The sequence below is a fragment of the Homo sapiens genome, chromosome 5 (genome assembly GCF_000001405.40).
Source record: "Homo sapiens chromosome 5, GRCh38.p14 Primary Assembly".
Classification (NCBI taxonomy): domain Eukaryota; kingdom Metazoa; phylum Chordata; class Mammalia; order Primates; family Hominidae; genus Homo; species Homo sapiens.
Genome location: NC_000005.10, coordinates 173,909,323 through 173,929,806, shown reverse-complemented (window position 1 = coordinate 173,929,806; position 20,484 = coordinate 173,909,323). Strand labels below are relative to the sequence as shown.

The following is a 20,484-nucleotide window of genomic DNA, read 5'->3' as shown; positions in this document are numbered from 1 at the left end:
AATTATTTAATGCTAACATTGCAATAGAAACCAAGGCTGTTCTATATGAACCATAATCCCTTTTACTTGATGCCAAGGAAGGACTATTATTATTATTATTTTAATTTTTGAGACAGGGTCTCACTCTGTTGCCCAGGCTGGAGTGCAGTGTGGTGCTATCTCAGCTCCAGCCTCGACCTCCCAGGCTTAAGTGATCCTACCACCTCAAGTCTCCCAAGTGACTGGGACTACCAATGCATGCCACCATGCCTGGCTAATTTTTTATTTTATGTAGAGATGGGGGTCTCCCTATGTTACCCAGGCTGGTCTTGAACTCTTGGGCTCAAGCAATCCTCCCACCTCAGCCTCTTCAAGTGCCGGGTTTACAGGAATGAGCCACCTCACCCAGCCCTAAGGGAGGATAATGAACAATGAGAATCCAAAAGACAATTACTAAACAGGCTGGTTTCACAATGAAGTTTCACAAATGAAGTTCCACTTTATCACAAACTCATGTTTTGGGTATCTTTTAAAGAGAAAATTTCAACTTGACAGTAACAAAACGGTCTCTTAACTCTATTATGAGATTAACTCTTCCCATATCTCCTGAAGAGACCTCCCACAACCAAAGGAGGTGACCTTTAACACTTTCCCTGTCCCTTGGCCTTATAAGTTACAGTCATTCTACCCTCCAGCTAAGACACAATGCGACACTGAAAAATCACTGGCAAAGTTCACAGTTGAACTCTGAAAGTGATACTTGTTTTTAATTTTTTTGATCCGGCCTTGTGATATGATTCCTGTTGTCAGGTTAGAATCAATTGTGGTCTCTAGTAGCAAACACACCTGTGACATTCTGTTAAACAATCAGCTATTCTTTCTACTTAAATTTTAACATAAGTGACATTAAGAAACTGTTTTCTTTTTTTAACTTTCATAATGCTTCCCTAACTTGTGTGCCCTACTCTTCCGTAAATTCTCTCCACAACTAAAATATCTAAAGAGTTGTCCATCATATTATGGATAACACATATCATTTCCTTTCTGGAAATCCTCCAAAAGCTTCCATTAAAAGTGCCATGGGAATTTGGTTATCTACAACCTTTTTGCACTCTCGTACTTTTTCCTTTATTTCTGTTCTAATATCCTCTCTGCTATATTGGTGTAAGTTTCTATAGCTTTTCTATTCCATGGCTAGCTAGTTGATAATCCCCTCCCATGCCTGAGACAGTGGCCCTCACTCCATGTTCCCAATGAAGAGTGTGTGTCTCGTATATATGTATTTTTATGTTGATATATAAATATGTGCTTTTATATAAGCATATTTGCATACTTACAAATAAATATATAAACGTCATTTTTTTAGAGCATTTTAGGTTCACAGCAGAATGGAGAGGAAGATACAGAGATTTCTGATATCCCCCTGCCCCCACATATGCATAGCTTACCCCATTATCAACATCCCGACCAGAGTGGTATAGGTTGATGGCAAAAACTGCAACTACTTTTGCACCAACCTATACATTTGTTACACCCAAAGTTCACAGTTTACATTAGGGTTCACTCTTGGTATTCATTCTGTGGGTTTGGACAAATGTATAATGACATGTATCCACCCATTATGGTATCATACAAAGTAGTTTCACTGCCATAAAAATCCTCTGTGCTCCCCCTATTCATCCCTCTTCGCCAGCCCCCAACCCCTGACCTTTTTATTGTCTCACAGACTTGCCTTTTCCAGACTATCATACAGTTGGAATCATAAAGTATGCAGCCTTCCAGATTGCCATCTTTCACTTAGTCATATGCATTTAAGGTTCCTCCATATCTTTTCATGGTTTGATTGCTCATTTCTTTTTAGTGCTTAATAATAGTCCATTGTTTGGATGGATCACAGTTTACTAATCTATATTCACCTACTGAAGGGTATCTTGGTTTTTCCAAGTTTTGACAATTATGAATAAAGCCGTCATAAACATCTATGTGCACGCAGGCTTTTGCGTAGGCATAAGTTTTCTCAAGGATTTTTTCAAATCTATCTTTTTTTTTTTTAGATGGAGTCTCACTCTGTCACCCAGGCTGGAGTGCAGTAGTGCGATCTCAGCTTACTGCAACCTCTGCTTCCTGGGTTCAAGCGATTCTTCTGCCTCAGCCTCCCGAGTAGCTGGGACTACAGGCGAGCACCACCACACACAGATAATTTTTGTATTTTTAGTAGAGTCAGGGTTTCACCATACCCGGCTAGGCTGGTCTTCAACTCCTGACCTCGTGATCCTCCTGCCTCGGCCTCCCGAAGTGCTGGGATTACAGGCTTGAGCCACTGCGCCTGGCTGGAAACATCTTTTTAATGAACTCACCAAATTTTATTTGTAGCTACAAAGCAACAACTAACTTTCTTACCTAATCATTTCAGCTTCTGGCTAACCTTCTTACCTCTTTTACATTAAAGCCCCCTTCGGAATTAGAGCTTTTAATACCTAGGCATCTTGAGTGTCCTGTTTGGGTACCAGGTGAGCATTTGATGAGTTCATTCCACTGAACTCAAAACACCAGTATTTCATAAGTAAAGTATAATAAAATAAAAATTGAGATGTCTGAATATTAATATAACCCAGTACCTGCCTGCTGTTTTGTCTGGTTGGGTTTTTGAGAACTCATCTTTTTTATTTTATTTTTTCAGACAGAGTCTCGCTCTGTCTCCCAGGCTGGAGTGCAATGGCACGATCTTGGCTCACTGCAACCTCCGCCTCCCAGGTTCAAGTGATTCTCCCACCTCAGCCTCCCGAGTAGCTGGGATTACTGGCACCCGCCATCATGCGCGGGTAATTTTTTTTGTATTTTTGTAGAGACAGAGTTTCACCATGTTGGCCAGGCTGATCTCGAACTCCTGACCTCAGGTGATGCCTCCACCTCAGCCTCCCACAGTGCTGGGATTACAGGCATGAGCCACGGTGCCCAGCCAAGAACTCATCTATCTTTAATCATTATCCAGGTTTGGGCACATTCAGAATTTAATTTCTAAAGGGAGAAGGAAGGCATTAGGATTTCAGCATGTGAACCTATTTGATGAGCAAAATTCAATCTTTGAAGGCTCTTGGTATTGATTTTGTTATAAATATAAAAAATACTGCCTGGTCAGCAGCCCTAATCTTAAGGAACATTATGACAGGAAAAGCAGTAGTCTCTGGAGGCCAGCTGCAGAATTTGGAACCAGAAGCCTGGCATACATCATGCCGAAGGCATAGGCTATATTTGGTGACATGACTCAACCTAGCCAAATATAGGCAACAGATACAGTGTGACTCTGGGGATCTACACTACCAAATCCTACAACCTAGAAAAGATCCATACGTCAACTAGGCAATTCTATGCTAAGCATTTGCCAGTTGGAAGAACCAATATTTACCAACAGACTGACTTAGAATAGGTGGGGGCAGGAGGTGCTAAAAAGAACAGTATGTACTATCATATCCTTTTAAGACACTAACTAAAGTAACCAAGTCAAAAAATAAAAGGAGAAAAGACCAGAGGAAATCCTCCTTTACATTAGCAGTATATATAAGTATTACTTTCATTAATTAGGTAAAATAAGTTATTTTCTAAAGAATAATCCAGATATTACTACTACTGATAATTCAACAGGAAATAATAAAAATAAATGCTGCCATTTCAAACACACAAACACCAAAAAGTATCAAATGTATCTGCAGCACAATTAGATTTCACGCTATCTATAAGCTTTTCTTTTTCACAGTCATGCCAACAATGTTGACAACATGGTGCAGGCCAAGGAATGATAATAGGGAATAACTCTAAAGTGACAAGTAGCATAAAATTTTTAAGGATCAACTTTTGATTGATTCACCCTATAAAAATGTGGATACTCCAAAGAAAAGCAGGGTGTTTGCAGAGGAGTCTTCAGTGAGCACCATTAAAAATTTCTAATGCACACAAATATATACATACACATACATTTGCAGTTGTTGATTGCCTAACTAGAAGTGCTGCTCCTACCTCTGCTCCTGCTAATTTTGTTTAGCTCACATCTAAGTAAATCAAAACTATACCGTCATAAGTAATATTTTAAAGGAGGTAGTCCTCCTACCCCTGCACATCTTCTGTTTTTACAAACTCCACTTGAGACTTGCAGCAAGATGGCGCTGTGGGGACCTGGACATCGGACAGCAAAGCTCAAGAAATGTGTAATAAATCCACTGGTTTTGAATGCCAACTTTATATACTTACACAAATGCAGAAGACATAGCAATATGAACAAAACAGCATTCAATATGTTCTATAATTTAATGGTATAAATTTAATTTTTAATAATTTAGTGTATTGACACAAAAATAACTCCCCAAATCAAAATCAGTAAGCTTATTCTACCCCCTTATCTATCTGTGCTACAACCAACTTCCAACAAAGACATTCCCATGCAAAATCACAAAGAAGGAACTGGCTGAGACAGATATCAGCTGAAGAGTCTTGTCCCCTCCCAAAGAGCCACTTAAAATTCACTAAACACACAGAGTTTAGGCTAAACAAAACCCTTCTCTGCTACAAATTTGGCTTTCAGCTCAAAAGCCAGTACTTACAAAAATCTTTGAATTAATGGCTTTCCTAACTCTCCACACTGCCATTTCCCTTCCCACATCAGGCACTCCAGCCATTCAGAACTGCTGGCCCATAACTTCAACTTCTGGGTAACTCCCTCTACCTAGAAGGCCCTCCTCTCTCTCTCTGCCCCTCAATGTCTTACCACTCAAGCCTCCACACTTTTGTCCCAGCAGTTCCCCTGCTAGGCCTCACATCTTATGAGAAGCCTTCCCTGCCCCACATCATCCTTGCTTTGATTCAGATAACCCTCTGTACTCCTTCCAGTATTCTTTACACTTATTACACCATATTTACATTACTTGTTTTAATCTCTTGCTGTAGGGCAATGAGATCTTTATGGATTTTGGGTGTGCTACCCCAGAGCCTGGAGCAGAGAAAGGTGCTCAATAAACAACTGTGGAAAATGAATGAAGCAAAGTCAGCAGTTGATGATCTCTCTGCCATGGAAGATGCAGTGTAATGGGTAGAGTCAAGCCGGTATCATCTTGTGACCTAAGTCAAATTATTTAGCTTTGCTGAACCTCAGGAAAACAGAGATAATTCCATTGACTTCACAGAGCTGTTGTGAGACAGTCTTGAGATAATGTTTGCAGAATGCCAAAAAAAATCCCTCAATATGCAGTAGGTACTTAACAAAATTAATTCCTTTCCCTTCCCCAGTAATAAGCCGAAGATAACCAACAATTTTCCACTTGTAAGAGAAAGGACAAGTAGGATTTATTTTGGCCAAAAAGTTCCAAACTGGAACCTTGGAAAAGGGAGGGGCAAATCTGGGGGATATTTCAGCTTCAGAAAAATGAGAATTTGCTAGTGTCCTTGGTTAAAAACAGGGATATAAGTCTTCTCAGGAAGAGAGAAAAGAACAAAACCTAACCCCTTACTTTCATCAAAGCCAAACTGGCAAAGATACATAATAATTTTAATGAAAACTTCAAAAATTCAACCTAAAATTTTTCTTTTCAATAAAACCAGAGAGGATCTTCATTTTGAACCAAAACCCCAAATTTAATGTTTCAATTGTAATATGATGATTGAAAAACAGATTGTAGTAGTGGCAAAAGAAAATAACACTTATCTGTAAGATGGGAGAGGTCAATGGAATATGTTTCTACAGATGGAGGAAGGTTTCATAGAAGGGAAGGACTGCTTTGACTACAACTCGGGGCAGGTGCGAAGCTGCAAGATCTAAAAGCATCTAAGAATTTCAGGCAGAAGGGAATGTCCAGAGAGAAACTAGTAAGAAGCTGACCCAATTAAGGAATTCAAAAGATTTCCTACTGCCAGTAAAGCTAACAACAAACCAGCAAGCAGGAAGGCTATTTTTATCCTTGCCAGAAGCCTTCTGACTCTAGATGCTACATTTAGAGGACAGAGCAACAAGATAACTTGCCTTAAGAGGATGTTATGATACCAGAGATTAATGGCAATTTTTTAAGCTCTAAAAAACTCGGCAAAACTAGGTGTAGTTTTTGTCCAAGCTAAGCCAGCCAAAGTCAGTTGGAAAAAAAAAGGTGAAAAAAATATAATGGAAAGAAAAGTGGAAAAACAGACCAAGTAGTAGAAAAAATTAAAGCAATCCAGAAAAAAAGCCAAGGCAGTAAATTAAAATTCTCCTACCTTGCAAAAAGTTTGCTTAAAAGAAGCATGTGTTACAAGAGACATATATTAAAAGAACCAATGAATAAAGAACTGGCCCCAAGGTGAAAATAATTTTGACAAATGGCTCTCTGTGCTGACATGAACATAAAAAAACACCAAGATAAACTTATGAAATCTCTAGGGACCACAAGCTAAGTCAGTGTAAATGATTGAGAACTTTAGAGATAAGAGAGAGAAGCCACAAGAGATCTAATTAGACTTTTCTCTGACTACAGAAACTAAAGAGAATTAAGACTGAGTTTCTTATTTATAACCATTATTTTATAAAATAGAATGCTACTACACTGATAAAAAGTTGCATTAAAACTGTTTACTGAAGTCCAAACCCCAAAAAGCAATCTGCAAAGTCACTAGTTGGCTTTCTGCATACAGACCTATCTATCATTAACTCTAGTCACTTACTTAACATGAATTCTGACAACTTTTCTGAACCTTAATGAAAAATGGACTTGCATTTTATATCTGATATAAGAATTTCACCTTTTGTTATTTCTCAGAAGGCCCACTACCTATTTTCTCCTATCAATACTCTGGGTTCTTACTTTTCCTCTTATTAATCTTCTAAATTAAATAATAAACAGGATATTCAAAGATGTCTGGTAATTATTTGGAAAATAAGCTGCATGAAGCCAGGAACCTTTGTTTTTAGTTAGTCCCTGATATATCCCAACAACCATAGTACCTGGTGCACAGTAGATGCCTGATGTATATTTGTTGTATGAATGGCCTCAGACAGCTCTGGACTTTACATATACATCCAAAGCAGCGCAAAAGTTGGGGGTGGGAAGCGAAGGAAGTGTATCTGAATCACATGAAGAATGCACATGCTTAAGTCCCATGGCAAATCTGGTGAATCAGAATCAGGGAAGAGAACAAGTCAACTTGGAAAAGTTTCCACTCCCAATAAGGCACACTTCAGTATGAAACCAGCCAACTGTGATGTGTGAATCTTTCATAGATTATGATAAAATACAGATTTTTAAATTTTGTACCATCTCCTAAATTGAAATTAAGAAATCTTGGCCAGGCATGATGGCTCATGTCTGTAATCCCAGCACTTTGGGAGGCCAAGGCAGGTGAATTGCTTGAGCCCAGGAGTTTGAGACCAGCCTAGGCAACATGGCAAAGCCCCATTTCTGCAAAAAATACAGAAATTAGCCAGGTGCACTGGCAGGCACCTGTAGTTCCAGCTACTTGGGAGGCTGAAGTGGGAGGAGCGTTTGAGCCCAGGAGGCGGAGGCTGCAGTGAGCCAAGATTGTGCCACTGCACTCCAGGATGGACAACAGAGCTAGACCCTGTCTCAAAAAAGAAAGAAAGAAAGAGAAAGAGAAAAAAAAATTGAATGCCTACCCTCTGTCAAAGCATACTAGACAAAAATGTTTCCATTTTCTTATGTTTGTTTCCTTCTCAGAGGCTACACAATAAATACTCAGGCCATTGAACCAGGAGCCAGAAGCTGTGTGTTCCTCCTATATTGACCCTTGTAGGTACCAGGAATCTGAGTGACTTTACAGAAGCTGTTGCATCTTTGGGATCTCCAATTCTTTTCAACTGTAAAATGAAGACCACAAAACTCACATAACAGGTTACCGTAAGGATCTGGGTTACAAATAATTCTCAGAAGGGGCACTGAATAAAAGAGAAATGGTATCAGAGGTAAGCACCCTTTCACTTGAAACTGGTTAATGCTGCTTCCCATACAGAATGTCCAGGTCTACCTCGAAAAGGAAAAATGCAGCACAGCATCAAAACTATCCTTCAATCTACCTGGCACATTGAATATGTTCAAATATTTGTGGAGGTGGAGTATAAGCAGAAGCTAAAATATAAGACACTTCCAAACCATGTGGCTTAAAGAGGCTTTAGTAGCACTTGCCTCCCCCTCCTAACAAGAACTGCCATGTTATACAACACGGAGTGCACCCATCTCGTCAGATGGCTCCCTCTACCCCCTGGCATCATGCAGGATGTAGCCTCAGCAGCCCATATTCTTAACCCTGCTACAAAGGAATAAAGATGGCTTCAGATGTCAGGAAGCTCCAAAATGCTACTTGGTGGAGAGGACAATTTAGGAGAGCGTCAGTAGCCTCCTCACTCCTCCCTGTCCTCCTCCTCACCATTTCCTCTGTTAAATTCCTTTTTTATGTTATGTTCTTTTTTGTAACAAGGAGCATTCTAATGGCAAGAGTATAAAGCAGAAAAATTAGGGAAGTTCTCTAGAGCAGTATTTCATAATCTGTTGTAATAACTATTAAGACCTACTTTGATCAAAATATTTCAGAGAGGCTTTCCTCCATAATAATAACTGAAGACTCCTACCCCTGTCTCTACCCTAAGTAAAACAGAACAAAAACAAAAAAAAATCTTAATATCAGAAGGCTACTATGAACTCAGCAACACCTTTAAATGTATTTTAATTGCATTACATCAGCATCCACATGCTTTTGGAAGATAATCATGCATACACAAGTGACATCTATCATCTAACTGGAATGCCTGGTCACTAATGGGTTCACAGGCTCTATCAAATAATTCCCATGGCTGAAGAGGCCCATGGTTCACAAATGGAGAACAAAAACATTTCACGAGGCCAAGTTTAAACAACTGTTTTCTAAACATAATATTTTTAGGCCTATCTCAAAAAGAAAAGATGTAGTTTAGACCCAAAGCCTTCACTCAACCGACTAAATCTGATCTCTGATTATAGCCCTTATACAAACTACTCCATATGAAATACTGCCACACCCAGAATCACATGATATTCATGGGCTACTTTCAGTCATTACACCATAAAAACCTTCAGTTTTAAAATATAAAACTGTACCTCCAGTTTTGTAATGTAAGACTGAATTGCTGATGGTAATGTAAAGATCATTAAGTTCAACCCCTCCGTTTACAGGTGAGGAAATTGAGGTCTAGAGAGAAGTGACCAATCTAAGGCACTACTAGTGGCCAAACCAGGTTTGAACACAACCCTGAACACTTCTCCTTTTATTTCGTAACATTTGGAAAAGTCTGTTATATGCTAACAACTTCCGATCATTACAATAAAGAAATCAGGCAGCTGGTTTAAATACCTCTATTTAGTCAACCATGCCAGACATTTATTATTTGGAATATTATAGCCAGCAGAAGTTAGATTTTTAAAAGTTATTTATATTTCAATTAATCAGGGCTGCTCTTCAGAATTAAGACTTGCTCTTTATTGTTGGTTTCTCAAGCACTAAAAGGGGGCTCTAATTGGTTGATTCCTCCTTCTCTTTTCCAATACACAGCAACTGGCATCAACCCAACTGGATTCCAAAGAGATTATGGAAGTGCTTTCCCTTCAGAGTTCCACTAATGTTCTTAATTGACTGGTTACCAGGTAATACCCAGAATAAAACAAAGCCTTGCTTTTAGAACTGAGTGCAGTGGTGTAGGACTGAATTCAGAATCAGTCAATTAGATAAAATAATGAAGCCCAGAGGCAGCCTGACCATCTCAATGTCTGATTTGAAAAGTAGTGACTAGTTTAAACCTTCTTAAAAAGTATTCCTTTTACAAATTGTATGGCTAATTGTACAGGGCTAAGCAAGAACAATTTCAGAGAATTTTCTCTCTCCTCCTTTTTAGTTTTGGTAGTAAGGATAATGGTAATGTGAGGGGGAAAAACAAGAAATTCACAATCCAGGCACATACAGTTGATAAATGAATCAACTGCATACAACATTCAGGTAGAAAGTCCATGCAGGAGTTTTGGGAAGTAATAATTCTGTGGCACAATTGTGAACTGTTCCCTCGTTCCTGTTGCTAAACTAAATGCAGAGAATCTTGGATATTTTTATGACAACTATGAATCAGGTGGCATTTCTTCCCCTCCCCCAAAGTCAGCAAATAACATCGTCATGGATTATATAACAAGATCAAGGAAAGCCTTAAGACCTTCATAGACAACAAAGGGCTTTTTTATTAAGCAGATATTTGGGCTGTTTTTGTAGCTGCCAGGAAATGAGACAGCAAGAGTCACCTCTATAGAATTTTATTATAGAAGGAAAACAGAAAAACCAAGTGACACTATTAAAGGTGCACAATACACTCTATTAATTTAGATGTGGCACATGAATGACATGTATCCCCATAAATATTGTGGGGCCCCTTCTCTTTTTTACAGTAGGAAGGTCCCTAATATTTATCATTGACAAACTGTGGACAAAGTCTGAAAATCTTACTACTTAATTGTCATTCTGATTTCATTTCTGAGTGGAGATTACTATTTTTGCCTGTCCAGATGGTAAAACATAAGCTTAAATTGTACACAAAACTTAATATGACAAAGCAAAACATTAAAGAAAAGTACTTGTTAATTTGTTACCTGATTGTTGCTTGTTTTCTTATTTATCTCTAAGTTTTTATCTACCACACATAGTTAAATCCCTGCCCTGAATGTATGTCAAACAATATTAAGTCATAATAACCATATTATAAGGGAACTTTACTACAACTGAAAAGAAAAAATTATGTATTAAAAAAATCTTTTAAATGTATGTTTAACCTTCTAATAACATTAAAAGTTTACTATTATAATACTTCCCCCATCTACTCGCCCACCGTTACCCTCACCTCTCACTCAGGTAACAAAGAATAAAACGATAACCGATTTTCATGGCCTCAAAATAGGATTCCTTGTGTTCAATGTTCAGGATTAAGATAAAGGGGCTGCTTAAGTAATTACGGACCCACATCATGGATGACATAAGACAAATTCCCCCTTTGTGGCAACTGCTTATTTGATTTTCAGACCAAATAAAAACAAGGGTTAAATATTCAATCACGAATGTGTGGCAGGTAGAGGGCAGAGGATCACTATTTTCGATTGACTAGTATGTGTTATGTAAGTAAACGGGGCAGATGAGGATCTGGCCCATGCACAAGATGCATTTAGTTTGAACTGAGTTGGTTTCCATTCAGAGGCTAGAGGGAGAAAGGCTTCAGTCCGATCCTATGACGATGTCGGCATTCACATACATCACATGATTTTCTTTCCTAGGCATTTCCCCTTACCCTCCCCGCCTTATAAAAACCCAAAGACAAAAACAACAGCAACCCCAAATCTGAAAGGGGGTAATCGCACTGCTCAAAATCCACACCTTTGTAAGCTCAACCTACACAGTACAGTGAGGAATCCAACAAATCCGGATCAAAAGTAAATCAGAAAGCAGGCAGTTGTTCAAAATTAAGAATAGGCCCTTCACTTTTCATACAAAAAAATCATGCCACACAATTTCGCCCTCTTCTTCCTCACAATAGAAGTTACCTCAACACAGAAGCCCAGGTCCCATCCTACAGCACAGCTAAGCCAAGGCAAGAGAAAGACTGTTTAGGATGTTCCATTTCCGCAGTCAAGAGAGGGAGAGTACAGGAGGAGAAGAAACACGCTTCATTCCTACATAGCCACACACACATTTAATTGTAGCCCAGTTTAAATTATACTCTTTGCTATTTAACGTCCTCCATTACTTATGAGGCTTTGAGAATTAAGGCAACTTTCTAATTCTTAGGAGACTTAAGTCACTCCCCTGTTACGCTACTTTGAATTACTTGGTATCATCCAAACCGAGCAAGAAAGAGCCAGCCTAGTTCAGGAAGGCTTCAGCCAGACACGCAGGCAGCTGCCGGCCGACTCTGAGTCTTAAAGACTTAATGATATTTAAAGATCCCTCAATTCGCCAGACACATTTGATACCACACACTAATAATTTACTTGGAAGGAGAAATTTGATTATAAATCCGAGTAAAATTAACTGGTTTGCGTTATCCATTTCTTCTTCTTTTTTATTTCTTTGAGATGGAGTTTCAGTCTTGTCGCCCAGGCTGGAGTGCAATGGCTTGATCTTGGCTCACTGCAACCTCCGCCTGCCAGGTTCAAGCGGTTCTCCTGCCTCAGCCTCCCAAGTAGCTGGGATTACAGGCGCCCGCTACCGCGCCCTGCTAATTTTTACATTTTTAGTAGAGACGGGTTTCACCATGTTGGCCAGGCTGGTCTTGAACTCCTGGTGATCCACCCACCTTGGCCTCCCAAAGCCCTGGGATTACAGGCGTGAGCCACCACGCCCAGCCTATCCACTTCTTCTTTATGGTACTTTGAATCTGCCCCATTAAATGTCCCTTAAAGGAAAATGTCCATCTAATCCTTTAAAAAGGTTGGAGGTTAGGGTACCAGTAATCTGTTCTTATTTTGCCACAGGCAAACCAATTTAAATAGAAAAAGGTTAAATACTGTAAGAAATTATATACTCTCCCCACCATTCCTACCTGAAATAAATCATTCTAATATTAAAGCAACAGAACCTATTTTAGTAGGACTTCCTTTCATTTTGAAAAAAAATTATTTATTCCCAAATTACTTCAAATTTATAACATATGAAATAAATAAGTGACAAAATTTAGCAACTCTCATAGCAGGTTTCCAGAGCTATTTCAGCCTGCACAGAGTCAGTATCTGTATAAAATACTTGTTCTAATGCCTCTCTACCAGTATACAACATGTGTTCTCTAAGTCAACTAAGTGACTGCAATTTGGAATATAGGAATATTAGTAAAATGGTGTATCGAAAGAAAAGTTAAGGTTTCCTATTATTTATTACATATTTTTAAGTAGCACTAAATTCTATCCCAACTGTAAAGATACAGAATTTAAATAATCCCCACAGCCACTCTCTTACAATGATATAAAAAAAACTTTTATAAAACTGATGAAACAAGCTTTGTGTACTAAACTTTCAACTTGAGTTTCATGATTTTCTTCTAGAAAGGTTATTATAAATTCTTTTGCTTAGCAACAAAGAAAAGAAGCACAGATGGAATCATCACTTGCCCACTCATTTAAGCATTTGTTTCAAACAAATTTACAGCAATGAAAAATAGTCAGGGAAGGGTCTCTAAATTTAACACGTAGATAAAGCAAGAAAAAATATGAAAGTGTTTTAAAATGCAAGGTCACAACACCTTTGGCAGTCAGGAATTAAATACATAGCATTTTTGGAGTAGATCCATAGCTCTTAAAATAAAGCGATGCATGAAACACGTGAGGCAGTGATGTATAACATGCTTCCACTACTTCCTCTACATATGCAATAGGTTTCCTGGGCACCATGGGGATATGTAAAAGACTGGCACTTTAAACAACTTGCATTTCTGAATGCAATCATTATTGCTTACATTCAAATTAAGTACTTGAAATGCCTGAAACTCAGAGGAATTGTGGTGGATATGTTGAGCCTTTCTTTCAAAAATCTGAAAGCAACATATATTCTACAACAATATGAAGAGAAAAAGACTCCATTTTCACACTATTCAAAGGAATAATATGATATCTAAGTCATAATTTCATATCTGAAGAACAACTATAATGTTTTGACAGTCTGTAGATTGCCTTTGTTCTCTCAATAATTTTGCTGTCTCATTTTGGCTTTCTAGTGAAATGAAGCAAATTGAATATTATATTGTTTTCATATATTGAATTTAAAATACTCAACCACTATCATGAAACTGTGGATTGTTATATTCTGTCTGACGTCTAATTTTTAAGCACTATTTTTGTCTCTTTATTCCCTTCACATACAGAAAAGAAAAAAAGGCTCCCTAATTTTCAGAGGTCTCTCTATACACTGAATATAATACTAACTCATGAATCTTTATTTCACTGTGTCCAACCTATGCTTCAGAAGGCTGAAAACAGATGTACTCGCATGTGGTTTTAATCTATTTCATGCTGCTCCATTTCTAAGTAACAAGTACCAATTTCATAAGCGAGAAAAAACATGCATAACAATAAGATACAATATTCCCCAAATAATCATCTAGGCATCTACAGCAATAAAATAGTTTTCTGTCCAGGTGAAGAAAAACTTGATAAGCCTAATAATATTGTAGCAATGCACAAGCTGCCACCTGGGAGATCAAAATTCAAAATCAGCCTGTAGCTCAGGCTCTAAGCTTATGAGACTGAGTGTGCAGCAAAGAAAATGAATTCGGTCTCTGGGGAAGAGCTTCTGAGGATTGTCACTGGTGTTGGTTATGGAGAAGGCAATACACAATTTCGCGGATAAAAATAACATCCAGACTTGCCAGCTGACCAGAGAAAGGACAGGGAGATAAGGAATGAGGAGAACCCTTTCCCCACCGCACAAAGAGCTAAATCCCTGTACATAGAAAAAATCATAGTAGCCTCAAAATTCTTAGAAAAGCAATTAAAAATAAGTTATAAAAAAACCTAATACGAATTATGAAAGCTATGTACTCCTTTGAACATTTGTTTAAAAAAAAATAAGTTTTCCAACAAACCAGTTGGAATCAATAACACATTCATAAAGAAATTCAAAAACTGTACTTGAACGTTCCTAGGACTATTAAGCATTTTGTTGATAGTAAAAATAAAGTTTTTTAACCGCATTACAGTAAGGGAATTTTTTTGTTCCAAAATGAAAAATACAAATTAAGTTTTCTAGCTCTTTTGAAAATTTAAGTTAATAATAGCCACACCAATAGATTCAACTGGTAGTTCCCGTAGCAATTTTAGGCCGTATTAAACACATACACACACAAACTGCATACCTATGAGGAACCAGAAATGAAAGAGAAAAATAAATGAGGTCATTCATAATTTTTTATGAAATTATTTTTAAGATTATTAAAGTTGTCTTTGAATTGTAAAGTCTAAAACAATCAAATCTTTTAATTTTTTTTTCTGAGTGGTATACTGTTCTCTACTAATCTCAGAATTAACACGAATTTTCTTCTCTTTCCTTTTTGTGACGGAGTCTCTCTCTTCTGTTGCCCAGGCTGGAGTGCAGTGGCCCGATCTCGGCTCATTGCAACCTCCGCCTGCCAGGTTCAAGCAATTCTCCTGCCTCACCCTCTGGAGTAACTGGGACTACAGGTGCACACTACCACGCCCGGATAATTTTTCTGTTTTTAGTAGAGATGGGGTTTCACCATGTTGGCCAGGCTGGTCTCGAACTCCTGACCTCAGGTGATGCACCCACCTGGCCCTCCCAAAGTGCTAGGGTTACAGGTGTGAGCTACCACACCTGGCTAATGTCAATTTTCTATTTTCTGTTTCTAAGGAAGCAGAGCACTAGAAGAGTATTTTATTTATTTATTTTCAAAATGAATTGGTAGGTGTTAGATACCTATTTCAAAATGACAATGTGTTTTTTTAAGTTATTCAAATTTTATTATCTTTATTACCTTTAAACAAAATTTCACAATAGAATGAACCACTGTTAAAATCAAGCATAGTATTCCTAAAATAGCTATCTAAATCAGAAGATAGTTTGACAAGAAATAAAATGTTACCCTGAGCAAAAACAATGTCTTGGCAGTGATAGGCTACAATGATACAAAGGTCATGGTCTTGTTTGAAAAAGAAAACAAGCGTAACTATAATCTGGCATTTTAGATCCATGCACTCATCTGTGAATTCTTTACTGCTCTTTGTAGGAAAAAACACACAAGCTTCCTGTAATATACTCAAGCCAGATTGGCACCTAAACTTAAACTGAAGCTGGCTTTTTTGATGAGCATGAAAGCAGACTTACATGTTTAGTAATAATACATGTAATTTCTTTAGTGTCTTCTATGAATTAGGCAATACGCTGAAATCTATAGCTGCATCATATTATGTCATCCTCACAGCCACCACAGACTGTAGTGACAGAGTGGCCGTTTAACCAGATCTGATTCCAAAAGCCACTGTCTTTCTATTCCATCACGTTGCAGTCTATAAATCACTATTTTACAAAATCTGTATGTTCCCAGATTAGATCAATCAGACTTAATTTATTTTGTCATCAGACCTAACTTTTGATTATCCCTATAATATCAGCTTAAAGAAACTTAATTTAGTAAAAATTGGTAAGGAGAACTTAAAAAGAGAATATAGAATAAAGGCAGAACTTTAAACAATTATCCGTTGAGCAAATTAGAAGAAAAAAATCTGATAGAGATGTCCTGGCTAAAACTGATGGCCAAGGAAATTCTATTGTTAATCGTATCAGAATACTGTGTGCTGGCCAGGTGCAGTGGCTCACGCCTGTAATCCCAGCACTTTGGGAGGCCAAGGTGGGTGGATCACCTGAAGCTAGGAGTTCAAGACCAGCCCAACCAACAAGGTGAAACCCCATCTCTACTAAAAATACAAAAATTAGCCAGGCGTGGTGGCAGGCGCCTGTAGTCCCAGCTGCTTGGGAGGCTGAGACAGGAGAATTGCTTGAACCCAGGAGGCAAAGGTTGCAGTGAGCTGAGATCGTGCCACTGCACTCCAGCCTGTGCAACAGAGCAAGACTCTTGTCTCAAAAAAAAAAAAAAAAGAATAATGTGTGCCAACTCTTTTATCTAACCTAAGTATTAGTTAGAGGCTTGCTTCTTAAAATGTCACATAACAAGTTGTTTCTATCCACTGCTGTTTGTAACCTATATTTTCTGTGATAAAAACCATAGGCACTTAGAAAATGATTTCTAATTACTTATTATCTGTAGTACCTAGTGTATGGGAAGCTCTTTTAAAATGTGCTGAAAGAATTAAACACATTAAGAATATACAAATGTTCTTTAACTACTTTTTCCATACTTTTTTTTTTTTTTTTTTTTGAGACAGGGTCTTAAAGAGCAGGAACACAGCTCACTGCAGCCTCAACCTTCTGGGCCCAAGTGATCTTCCTGCCTCAGCGTCCCATGTAACTGGGAACATAGGTGTGGGTTGCTATGCCTGGCTAATTTTTTTTTTTTTTAAATGTTTGTAGAGACCAGGTCTCACCATCTTGCCCAGACTGGTCTTGAACTCCTGGGCTCCAGCCATCCTCTACCTCAGCCTCCCAAAGTGCTGGGATTATAAGCGTGAGCCACCGCACCAGACCTTAACTTTTTAAAAAAAAAAAAAAAATTATTTTATTATATAAAGACAGGGTCTGTGTTTTTTTCTTTTTCAAATTACTTTATTATATAGAGACAGGGTCTTGCCATGTTGCCCAGGCTGGTCTCAAACTCCTGGGCTCAAGTGATTCTCCCTCCTTTACCTCCCAAAGTGCTAATTATAGATTCACAGCAAGTTGCAAAAGTAGTACAGAGAAAGCCTCATGTACCCTTTATCCAGTGTTCTCAAATGGCAACATTTTACATAACTATAATACAAAACCAGGAAATTGACATTGGTACAACCCACAGACCTTATTCATATTTTTCCTTTAGCTATTTTTTAAGAGTGTACAATTTTTCTGGTGCTAGAAATAGCACCTTAGACTCTTCATTTTTCTGAAGAGAAAACAAAGGGTCCAAGAGGCTGAAGACTACCCAAAGTCAGAGTGCTAAAAAGTAGCAAAAATAAAGCCAATTCTGAGTGGGAGATCATCTTTCCACAGCTATATAGCATGCATCTACACTAAAGTCATCCACCAGAATTCCATGAGAAACTCAGTAAAGACCTTCCAAATATTCTTATTTCAAAGGTATCACATCAGATGGATGCCTATTTTTTACACATTATTTTTCTTCCCTCTCTCCAGAAACCTAAAAGCTTTCTTCATTAAAACAATATTATCACTATTGGTCTACTGAAAAATACATAAAATGTTTTTCTGCATCAGTAACATGATAAGCCAAACTCAAAGGGAAACTAGGCTAAGCAGGTCACCAGTTGAAACAACAGGCTGCCTTGTCACCTTTGACCTCAGTGCAAAGCTCTATGTCTGGCACAAAGCAGTGTCATAAACATTGAATCACTGAATGAATGAATGAATGAATGAATGAATGAAGGAGCCAACAGCTTAAGTGGGATGACCAAATATACCAAACATTCTAAGTTTCTTAAAAAAAAAAAAAAAAAAAAAAACCTGCTTTCTAATAAACTGATATTTTTATCCAGAAAAATGTTTTATTTTGTGAGATACTTTTCCCAAAATCAGAGGAAAGGCCCTTAGGAAATATCTAGTCTTGCAATTTTCATTCTTGGCTACATGTTAGCATCACCTGAGATATTAAAAAATAACTTTGGGAGGCCGAGGCGGGCAGATCATTAGGTCAGGAGATCGAGACCATCCTGGCTAACACGGTGAAACCCCGTCTCTACTAAAAATACAAAAAATGAGCCGGGCGTGGTAGTGGGCGCCTGTAGTCCCAGCTACTCGGGAGGCTGAGGCAGGAGAATGGCGTGAGCCTGGGAGGCGGAGCTTGCAGTGATCACGCCACTGCACTCCAGCCTGGCGACAGGGCAAGACTCCGTCTCAAAAAAAAATAAAAACATGCAAGCCCGCACCCCATGTATGGAATGGGGTCCAGACATCTACATTTTATTTTTAAAGCACCCGGGTAATTCTACGTCTTTATAAAGGTGAAGAAATTGAGGCCTAGTCAAACAGAATGTCTTATTCAAGATAACACAACTTGTCAGTAACATGAGACTAGAATCCATGTAGAAACAGTATTTTTTTTTAACATAATACATAGAAAAAAATTCTGAGAACTACAGAACTTCATTTTAACTTTGAAACTATTGGTTATTTTTTAAAACATGAAAGTAGGCAAAAATTCTACCAACATGTGAACTGTTCCTGGGACATAATCACTGTCATAAGTAGGTAGACATAAACAACTAAGACACTGAGAAGTTATTGCCTGAGATATAAAAAAAATAATAATAAGGTATGTAGTTGGTGTCTTTGAGATAATTGCCCATTCTTGGCAATTAGTACTCACGTAGTACTCTTACCTGGTATCACGATGGCTCCACTATAGAGGTTCATCAAGTATGTTGGATTTTTTAACAACAAGAGGTATATGTGTAAAATTGATAGAACTTACTGCATACAAAGTGACTCCATAATATTTGCCATACTGTGTATCAGATTAAATAGTTAATACACATTTAAAACTATTGTCTGAAATCAATTGGGTATATTTCTAAACTTACCTTTAATGGTATCATTTTCAGCTCTCATTATGTCAATGAGTGAACTCTCCAGTGAGTGCATGTCGAATGTCCTGGGGCGATCCTGTAGACACAAACAGCCACAAACCACTTTTTAAAATAGCATTTAAATATAAAAGAGGACAGTAAGTTTCATTAGATGGGACACAGATCACAAAGTAGCAATTTTACTCTCTATGTAAGGCACATTATTACTAAATGTTATTATTAACACCAAACATCAAAAACCACAAAAGTAAGTACACAGGGCTCAGCAAAGAGTGATTTGACTTCTAACAATAATTTCAACAAAAGCATCACATTTATTCAGAAAGCCAAAACCATTAAAACGAATTTCTGTATTAGTTAAGAACATTACATAAGTGTAAAAAAAAAAAATTCTTTCCCATCACTTAAGATTGCAAAAACGTGGCAAAGCTTTCCAAACTTGTCCCACTAGTTATCTGCTAGACTGGTACCTGTATGTGCTGTTCAAAATAGCTATATTTTCTTATAAGGCAAAGTTTAAAAATAGTCATCGAATGATTGTAAGACTATTAAATGGTAAAGCATACAAAAAAAAAAATGAGAGAAATCTTTTTTTTTTTTTGAGACACAGTCTCACACTGTTCCAGGCTGGAGTACAGTGGTGCGATCTCAGCTCACTACAACCTCTGCCTCCCGGGTTCAAATAATTCTTGTGCCTCAGCCTCCAGAGTAGCTGGGATTACAGGCACCCGCCACCAAACCCGGCTAATTTTCTGTATTTTTAGTAGAGATGGGGTTTCACCATGTTGGCCAGGCTGGTCTTGAACTCCCGACCTCAAAGGATCCACCTGCCTAGCCTCCCAAAGTGCTGGGATTACAGGCATGAGCCACCAGATCCAGCCAAGATAAATTATATACTTATTTTAAGAAAATAAAAATACTGATTTATTCATCTCTATATATTATCAAAGTTGTTCTTGACTGTTAATGATTTGCCTTCTCTGAAGATTTGTTTTTAAAACTAATAATCTATATAGAAAGTTGAAAAAAAATCTCCTTCCTTCCAAAAATCATGTAAAAAAAAAAAATTTCGTAGACTCTCCCTTCCCCCAACATAAAAATAAATCTGGAATAATGAAGCACAGAAGCTGCTCTCATTACTGTCACGAGGCTTTCTCTAAGGAGAAGGATGAGAATAGCAATAGAGAACTGCTGAAGCATGTTCTGTCCCTCCCTGCCCCCAATGCAACGTGTTATTAGGTCCCCAAACAACCCAGTCATTACTTCTGGTAAATAA

At 37.9% G+C, this 20,484-nt stretch overlaps 1 protein-coding gene across 5 annotated transcripts in view, besides 1 other annotated feature; it reads right to left on the bottom strand.

The window, feature by feature from the left end:
- CPEB4 (cytoplasmic polyadenylation element binding protein 4) overlaps positions 1–20,484 on the bottom strand; it is a 73,632-nt gene that overhangs the window by 32,174 nt on the left and 20,974 nt on the right. For all 5 annotated transcript variants that reach the window (NM_030627.4, NM_001308189.2, NM_001308191.2 and 2 more), the window contains exon 2: positions 19,203–19,284. In NM_030627.4, the coding sequence (NP_085130.2) occupies positions 19,203–19,284 (82 nt within the window). The remainder of the gene's footprint in view (positions 1–19,202; positions 19,285–20,484) is intronic.
- Positions 11,545–11,804: an enhancer, noted in NCBI's record as "active region_23672". NCBI's record gives its function as "activates an Ori minimal core promoter by ATAC-STARR-seq in GM12878 lymphoblastoid cells {active_cell/tissue: GM12878}" and the evidence as "EXISTENCE:reporter gene assay evidence [ECO:0000049][PMID:35858748]".